Source organism: Homo sapiens, chromosome 11, assembly GCF_000001405.40.
Source record: "Homo sapiens chromosome 11, GRCh38.p14 Primary Assembly".
Classification (NCBI taxonomy): domain Eukaryota; kingdom Metazoa; phylum Chordata; class Mammalia; order Primates; family Hominidae; genus Homo; species Homo sapiens.
This window is the reverse complement of record NC_000011.10, coordinates 133,563,097-133,572,482: the sequence shown is the minus strand read 5'-3', so window position 1 is coordinate 133,572,482 and position 9,386 is coordinate 133,563,097. Positions and strand designations below refer to the sequence as shown.

The 9,386-nt window shown below is 36.7% G+C and overlaps 1 annotated feature.

Annotated features, from left to right (window-relative positions):
* Positions 1,087 to 2,286: an enhancer, noted in NCBI's record as "P300/CBP strongly-dependent group 1 enhancer chr11:133440092-133441291 (GRCh37/hg19 assembly coordinates)". NCBI's record gives its function as "activates an origin of replication core promoter dependent on BRD2, BRD4, P300/CBP, MED14 and CDK7 cofactors, with strong dependence on P300/CBP, by STARR-seq in HCT116 cells {active_cell/tissue: HCT116}" and the evidence as "EXISTENCE:reporter gene assay evidence [ECO:0000049][PMID:35650434]".

Here is a 9,386-nt window from a genome sequence, read left to right as displayed (position 1 = left end):
AAGCAAGGAGAAACATCATATTTATGGTGAAGCTTGGGTGGAAGAATAGTAAAATTATTGATGCTTTATAAAAACTTTATGGTAATAATGCCCTAAAAATCCAGCAGTTTACAAATTGATAACTCATTTTAAGAAGGGATGAGATAATGTTGAAGATGAAAGTCCACAATGGCAGATCATCCAGATCAATTTTTGAGGAAAAAATTTATCTTGTTTATGCCCTCATTGAAGAGAACTGACGACTCACAGCAGAAACAATTGCCAACACCATAGGCAACTCAATTGGTTCAGCTTATACAATTCTGACTGAAAAATTAAAGTTGAGCAAACTTTCCACCTGATGGATGACAAACCCATTGTATTCAGGTCAGCTGCAGACAAGAGCAGAGGTATCGATGAGAATTTTAAACAAATGGGATCAAAATCCTGAATCATTTATTTGAAGAATTTTAACAGGAGATGAAACATGGCTTTCCCAGTATAATCCTGAAGACCATGCACGATCAGAGCAATGGCTACCAAGATGTGGAAGCGCTCCAGTCACAGCAGAAGCAGATTAGTCAAAAGCAAAGGTCTTGGAAAAAGTTTTTTTTGGGATGCTCAAGCCATTTTGTTTGTTGAATTTCTGGAGGGTCAAAGAATGGTAACATCTGTTTATTATGAGAGTGTTTTGAGAAAGCCAAAGCTTTAGCAGAAAAAGTCCTGGGAAAGCTTCACAAGAAAGTCCTTCTTCACTACAACAACGCTCCTGCTCATTCCTGCCATCAAGCAAGGACAATTTTGTAAGAGTTTTGATGGAAAATTATTAGGCATCCACCTTACAGTCATGATTTGGCTCCCTATGACTTTGAGTTTCTTAATATTAAAAAATCTTTAAAAGACTCCCATTTTTCTTCAGTTAATAATGTAAAAAAGACTGCATTGACATGATTAAATTCCCGGGACACTCAGTTCTTTAGGAATGGACTAATTGGCTGGCACCATCACTTACAGAAGTGTCTTGAACTCGAGGGAGATTATGTTGAGAAATAAAGTTTACATTTTAATTTTTAATCTTTTAATTCACTTTTTTCCATGAACTTTTTGAAGTTTCCTCATATACCTGCATATACATTTCATATGCTGCATATTTCTATAACAACAATATGTTCAGGATTTTTGTGGAGGTATAGGTTATCTCATTGTTTGAAATTATATTTTCATAAGGTGATTTATTACTAAAGTGATTTTATTATGTTTTTCTATGATTTTCCGTATTTACAGTCTCAAATAGGGGAGAAAACACAATCTTTTTTTTAGTTTTTATAGCTTAATTTGCATTCAGAAAATATGTTTACCATAACTATCAATTACTGAATATTTTTACATACCAGGCACTTCCCAATTAATCATCAACATAATTCAATCAATTACGTATTGTTATTGCTATGTTATGTATTAGGACTCTGAGTCTCAGAAAGGTTAAGTGACTTATAAGTGGCCAAACCACTTAGAGACCAAGGAAAAGAATGAAGAGTCCCAAAATAGATCTGTACATGTATGGTAAATTGATTTTAATAAAGTCATCATCATTTGAAGGGGAAAGGAAGTCTTCAAAACAAATGGTTTGTTTCAATTAGGGATGCCTGCAGGAGAAATAATCAGTTAAAATCACATGATATATAAACATGGTAACTGGACCTCCTGATGGTTATTAGCAGTGTATGAGTTCTCATCTATGGAATGCTTTTAAGAGGATATATACCTAGTTTGTCTATTATTATTTATGTCAAACAAACCTGGAGTCTATTTGTGTTTTTGGCTAGATAATGTTTGTGTCATCTAGGTAATTACTAGACAATACTGGAATGTAAAATAGAGATGACTCATGAGCAAATGAACTCCCTTTGTGTAAGTGGTGGCATGCGTCACCTGGGAATTTTCTGCGTCAGCTCTGAGAGGGCACATGTCCTGATGTGGAAGAGAGGACATGAGGTTGTTGCTGGCCATCTCCCTCTGTCTCCATGCTTTGCATGTCTTGCTATTATCTACATTCTTAAAACTTGTAGTAAGGTTTGATATTGCATGATAGCTGATTCTTGTCAATCCGATTATACAACGAGTCTCTTAGTGTTACTTCAAACCTATTTACATTGAATGTAATAATTCATATGATTGGGTTTAAATTTACCATTTTCCAATTTGTGCTTTCTGTTTTTCTTTCCGTCTTCTTTTAGATTACTGAAATATTTTATATTATTCCAATTTATTTCCTCAACTAGCTCATAGAAATAATTCTTTGTATTTTTTTTTTTTACTGTTCTGGGGATAATAATACGCATTTTTAAATTCTAAATGCCAAAGAAATTAAAATTTATGCTCACATAAAAACATGTAAACAGATGCTCATAGCAGCTTTGTTTGTAGTAACCTCAAATTGGAAGCAACCAAGATGTGCCTCAATGGATGATGTGTTAAACAATCTGTGGTACGTCCACACCACAGAATACTACACAACAATAAAAACGCACAAACTACTGATACATGCAACTGCTTGCGTGAATTTCCAGAGGATTATTCCGATTTTAAAAAATCCCCAAAGGTTACCTATTGTATAACTACATTTATGTAATTTTTTATGACAAAATTTTAAAAATGGAAAATAGAGTACTGGTTGCTAAAGATTAGAGAATGGGGAGGGAGCTGGGTGTGGCTTTAAAAGGGCAGCAGGAGGGATCCTTGTGGCTGTAGAACGGCTCTGCATCCTGACTGCCGTGGTGGAACAAGAACTTACACCTGTGATAGAATTATACAGAACTTAAATACACACACATAATTAAGTACAAATAAAACTGGGGAAATCTGAGTCAGATCTATGGATTAGATCAATGTCAGTATTCTGGTTATGATGTGGTACTATAGGTTTGTAATATGTTACTGTTGGGGCAAATGGGTAAAGAGTGCATACGATCTCTCTGAATTATTTCTTACAAGTCCCTGGTATTCTAGAATTATTTCAACTAAAATTTCAATTAAAATTTAATCAGAGTCAATATTGTAACACACACCACTTCATGTATTTCTCCTTACTGTATTATTTCACAACTGTAATGGCTATATAGTGGTATGATTCCATTTTACCCACCCACCAATGTTGTGCTATTATGTTAACATTTTAAAATTATGCATGTTAGAAACCTACCCCACATTATATTTGCTTTAGGTAGAGGTAGTCTTTGCTTTGCACAGTTTTGATATGCACAAATTCCAGTTATTGCATTTGTTTAATTAATACTGGTCCTCCAACAGCACGATTTATATTTTAGTTAGCACAGTGTGTTAACTGTGACTAATTTTACAAGATATAAACTTTGCTGTGAGCTCTTCAGTCCACAAATCACAACCTAAGTGACAGATGCACATCACGATCAGTAAGCAATCTTGTCACTTCTTTCAAAATCTATTGTGAATATGTCACTCTGCATCTGTTATTTAGTTTTTGCACAGACAGCAAAACATGTGGGTGTGTCACCTCTTTGCCTTCCAGTGACAAACCCACAGAACATTTCACAAAAATGGATACTCAACTGAAGAAATTGACCATCAAAGATCAAAGTGCAGGAAAGAAATGAAAAGGGCTAATGATAGACGCAAAATTTGCCTAGAACATCAGTGGAGTTACAGGAGAAATACCTGACTGTGGGGATGCTGAGACTGCCAGCATTCACGAGGCTCTAGATGTTCAACCAGAGCAGCTTAGTGAAGGCAAACTTACCAGCATAAATGAAGAAAGTGGCTGGGAGGAAAATGGAGGATGGTGTCTCAGAAGTAATGCCACTAAATAATAAAAACCACAACTGCATAAAAGAACTCTCAGACTTACGTCATGACATTGAACACACACAGGAAGAAATGTTGAAAACTGATTCAAAATTTAAGAGTATAACAATGTTCCAAGACATAGAAAAGCTGCTCACTCGGTATCATAAGTTATGTAAAGAGCAGAAGGCAAGGACTTCTCAAACTCCTCTTGATCATCTGTTTTTACAAAGAAAACCCTTCATTCTCAATGTTTCTAGTTTTAAATTACAGTATAACAAATACATATTAATTTTTACTAATTCTTTATTTTCTTATACATTTATATAACCCATAGTAAAAGAGGATTTTAATGAAAATTTTTAAAGGTCATGGAGCTATCATAATTTTCCCATTGATTATTGAAATCACTTTTTAACACATAACTTCAATGTGTTCAGTCATTTTTATGATCCCATACTATCATACAAAGTGAGGACTACCTGTAGTGAGAAGGGTTTTTTGGAAGAAAACTGAGAAGGAAAAAAGCCATAGTGTTTCATGTTTCCTCATTCATCCTTTCTGTTGTGCTCCTTGCCTCCTTAGAGAACCAAGTGTCATTCCTCAGCACTCCTTATCTCATATGTCTGTCGGTGAAACACTTTTTCAGCTTTAATTTACCTAAATATGTCTGTATTTCACCCTCTGTTTTAAAGGATATTTTCACTACAAGTAGAGCTCTAGGTTGAAAGTTGATTTTCTTTCAGTGCTTTAAAGATGTTCTATTGTTTTCTGGCTTCTGCTGTTTCTGTGAGTCAAATATAAATCTGACAATCCTCACTGCTGTTTCCCTATGTGTAATATGTCCCCTGCTCCCCACTGCTGTCAGCGGTTTCGAGATTTTTCTCTTTGGGGTTTAGTAGTTTTCCTCTAATGTGCCTACCATGGTTCTCCTTGTATTTGTCCCACTTAGGTTTGTTGTTATTTTACATCAAATTTGGCAAGTATTCAGCTATTGCATTTTTAAAATATTTTTCTGCCCCATTTCATTCTCTTCTCTGCACACCTATGATCTGTGTGTTAGACTGTTTAAATGTGGTCCATGGATCCCTGGGGCTCATTCATTTTGCTTCAAACATTTTCCCTTCTTCTTAAAATTCAGTTTGTGTATTGATAATTTCTCAAGTTTACTGAATTTTCTGTCACCTCCAATCTGCTGTTAAGTTTGTCCAATGAGTTTAAAAATTTTAACTATTGTATTTTTTCCTTCTAGAACTTTCCTGTGATTCTTTTTTGAAAATAACTTTTCTCTGCTGAAAGTCTCCATACATTTTCTCATTTTGACCATATTCTTGAATTTTTAGAAATTCTTTGAGCATATTTATAAATTCTGCTTTAAAATTTTTGCCTGCTGAAGCCAACATCCAGATCATCTGAGGGTACGATTCCACTAACTAGCTTCTTTTCTTGACTATGGGTCATAGTTTCCTATTTTTTTTTGTATATCCAGTAATTTTTTATAGTTTAGTGGACATTGTTGGTGGTACATTATAATAAAATGGGATGTGCTCATTATGACATATAAAAAAATGGGTTGAATAAAAAAGGAGACTCATTTCTGTAATCTTTCTTTGAAAAGTGATAATTTTTATTCTACAGGTAGTTTAATTATTGACTAATGTCTTTGAATTTATATAGACTTGAATTTATGCTTTATTGGAATAATTTGTCGAAATCCCAAGGTATTTCCAAAGGCATTCTAACTTAGTAATACTCAACTGCCAAACTCTTTCTCCTCTGAGGACTTTGTCAGTGCTTGCTTTTAGACTTGGTCCTTCCTAAGGCTTGTTCCTTCCTCCTAGGGCATGACCTCTCTGATATCTTAGCTGGATTTCTGGGGAGTTAACACAATGTTAATGGAGTTTCTCCACTCAGGTGGGCCAAGACTTCCAATGTCCCCAGAACTACTTTACCTTTGATAACTGCTTCTATTGTCAACCTACAGTTATTTACTCTCTGGTAAGCTTTGTCCAGTTTAACCCTGCGCACATGCAACCTAGCCTTTGGCCACAGATGTGTGAGAAACCCCTATGTAAACTCATGCCCTTCTCCCAACCCCCCAAATGTGCAGCTTTCTCCTCTCTGGTTCTTTGCCTTGCACATCCTAACCTCTTTGGTTCCTATAAACTCTGAATTCTGTGTCTTTAGCTCAGTAGGGCTACTGTGATATCACTGGACTCCAACTTATGGTGCTAAGGTCAGGAAATTATCCACAGATAGAGACCTGAGGAAATCGTAGGGCTCACCTCCTGCATTTACCTTCTCTCAGAGATTGCAGTCTGGGACTGCCTGTGGTCCATTGCTTGAAAAAAAAAATTGCTCTATGTATTTTATTCCATTTCTATGGTTATTTAAGGTGATAGGGCTAGTCTACTACTAGTTAATGTGTCTTATTTAGAAGTGGCAATCTCACATTCCATTTTGAATTGATGAATGCCTAACAATCAAAAACTAAGTGCATGGAAGAGGAAAACAAATCTAGGGGAATCCTCAGCCTTGGGATATCATCTACCTGAGAGGTCCTGAGCCACTGTCATTCATTTTCTACTTAGTCTGAGTTTTTCTTTAGCCATGTGACACCAAGACTGAGAGCACACTATTGTAATATTTAGGAGTATATGTGAAGTTTCTCCTGGTATTAAATTAACCCAGAAATAAGCCCTGGTTTTCGTATGCTAAATGGCCATTACACAGTTAGTTTCATGACAAAACAATTAAATGAAACCAAACAAAACAATATATTTCTAGTTCTAAGGTAAACATTAATTATGCCTCCCATTTTAATGGTTCTGAAATGTAAATGTGTCTTTCAATATGAGTTTAAATTTTATTTTGCCTCCAAAGAAATCTAATATAAAATTGATGATTTGTCTTAAAACTAATGGGATTTATCACCAAAAAAGAGATTTGTAGGCATCTAGTCATTTGCACGCTACACAGTTACTATTCCTCTTGGCCCCAAATTTCCAAATACTTATTGCCTCCCTTCTTCACAGAAGAAAAAAACAATTGGAAAAAAATGTTGTTTTTGTAGCAGCAGTGGATTTAAAGAAGCCGTCGGGAGAAATGCCGTGACTTAATAATGGCTGTGAGGTGTTGAAATGCATCTGTAGATAAAAATCTGAGATAATGTTTTCAAACTTTGTTAAATATAGCATGAAACCTGAGATGACGATGATGATGGTAGATGATGGTGGAGTAAGAGGGGACTTACCCAAGAATAGAAGAGCTGACCTGAGAACCCTTGAGACCTGTAGGCTTATTTCAAAGTCTAGAACTTCATTCCCAAATTTATGATCCTATCACCAGATATTTTCTGGCCAATACAGATTAGCTTAAATTAAGAGATAATTTATTATGGAAGATTGATTACAGGCATGTTGTCCACCCACTGTGGAACCATGTTTTCCATCATATTGCCATTTCTTGTTTAAGGAAAGAAATGCATCTCCCATCTTGACATGTTTATCATTGTGTGCCTGAGCTAATTATCTCCATGGGCTCAGTTTAGCTCTTAAAACTGATAGATGATTATCATGTCCTCTGGAAATGATGCATGCCATACATGTGCAGCTATACGTCAGAAGAAAAACAGTTTTTGAAGTCTTCATCTGTGTAGTTTACTGGAAATTGCATATTGAAAACTACGTCAATACATGACAGCATGTGTTAAAATTATATATACAGTTATATGTAAAAATGTAATATATGTATAATATATATTATGTGCAAAATTCATTATATGTAACCTATATGAGTCTGAGTATTGAGTTTGCTGTTTTATGTAGCTTAAAGTTACTGATGATCTCATCCACGTGATCTCTTAGCCGAGATCTAAGATGTTCTATTTCTCATCTGTTTATCTCTAATTTTTCCCTGTGTCGGGTTCAAAATTTAATAACTCTTCTCTTCTTCCGTCTGTGTCTCTCATCTATACCCTTAAGGCATCTTAGCAGCTAACAGGAGAGATAAGCAGCATTCTTTCTGTAATTGGCAAAGTTAGGGTACTCCATTTTCATTACAACTTTAAATCTGCCAAACCTACCATTCTGGCACAGAAACTTAGGACAAAACAGTAGCAGGGGGGATTGCATCTGCACCTCCAGCTTTGTCATTCTCTCTTTCACGGGTGCCTCAACTAGCCATTTAGAACTGGAGCTACCAACTGCAAAGTGATGGGTTGGAATCAGCATTCAGCCTTCCCACAAATGCTCCTTGGTCCTCGGGTCCTCTTGGGCATTATCTTTTTTCCTGTCTCCAAGAATTATCCCCATAGGTCAGTTCAGTTGATATATTGAGTGAGTGATGATATTTCCCCGCTGGCAGGAAAACGGGATGAGAGAATTTGGGACTAACTGCATGGCAAATAGCCCTTTTGAACATGTTTTGAGCCCTATTTCTCTTAAAAATACTACCAGACCCAAGAAATGTAAGATTTTTTGATGCTTTAAAAAATGGAATGTGGTCATTATGACATATAAAAAAATGGGTTGAATAAAAAAGGAGGCCACACAGGAGGGCTGGACACCCACCTGCAACCCACAGCTCTAATATCCTGTTGCTTGGATTCCAAGTCCTATGTGTTATTTTTTCAGTCTCAGAGTCCTTTATGTCCCCATAGCTCCTAGTCAGTTAGATGCAGTGTGTTCTCTTAATTCCCCCGGCAGACATTTTCTCACAGATTTGGAGGTTAAAAGGAAGAGGAAAAAAAAACTCTTCAAAACATAAACCCTAAACTACAAAACATAAGTAGAAAATGTTGAAGCTGGGAGCCTGGTTACCGTGGCAACTTGGGTTTGCCAAGTTCCCCTCTCAGAAAGCCGGTCCTCTGCTTGAATTGGTTGCTTCTCGGATGGGCCGTGACCACCAGGTGTGTGGCTCGAGCCAAGTGCATTGAAAGGAAAACTGGATTTGGCATGGCCCCATCTCCTGGGAGCATCATCTACATGACAGCTATTGATTCCTTTGTTTGAATCCATCTCCAACCCACATCCTTTCTGTGGGGAAGGGAGAGAAGGCCAGAAGCTTCTTGGCTGTAGCAGCTGAGAAGAGGCTTAGGGAGAAGGTAGGGAATTATCTGGTCTCTACAAGGAGAAGACTCTATAGAACCTCAGGAAAGCAATTTTCTGCGTTGGTATTCTTCTCAAAAACATTACTGGCATTTTTTTCTCCAAAGCACAGGGAACCATATTAGTTGCTAAGAATAAAAATAGGGCAACGTAGACCTCATTTTTAAGGTTCTTATGGTCTTCTTGAAAAAACATGGCATATTTCAGGCTGTAAGTGATAAGCACAGATAATACTTTCAGAGATGCTGGAGACCATGGAGGGTAGGTGGCTGGGCAGTCAGAGAAGACGGTGCAAGGGCCGAGCTGGAAGGAAAGCAAGTAGGAGACCAGGTCACTTTCCAGACACAACGTGATGAATAAAAATGGGTGCTACTGTGGCCTGACCAGATGCCAGAGAGCTCGGATCGGAGTATAATGGGATAAGTCAGGGACGTAAATTGTGGATTGATTCCGGAGTGCCTTTAAAGTAAGACTAAAGCG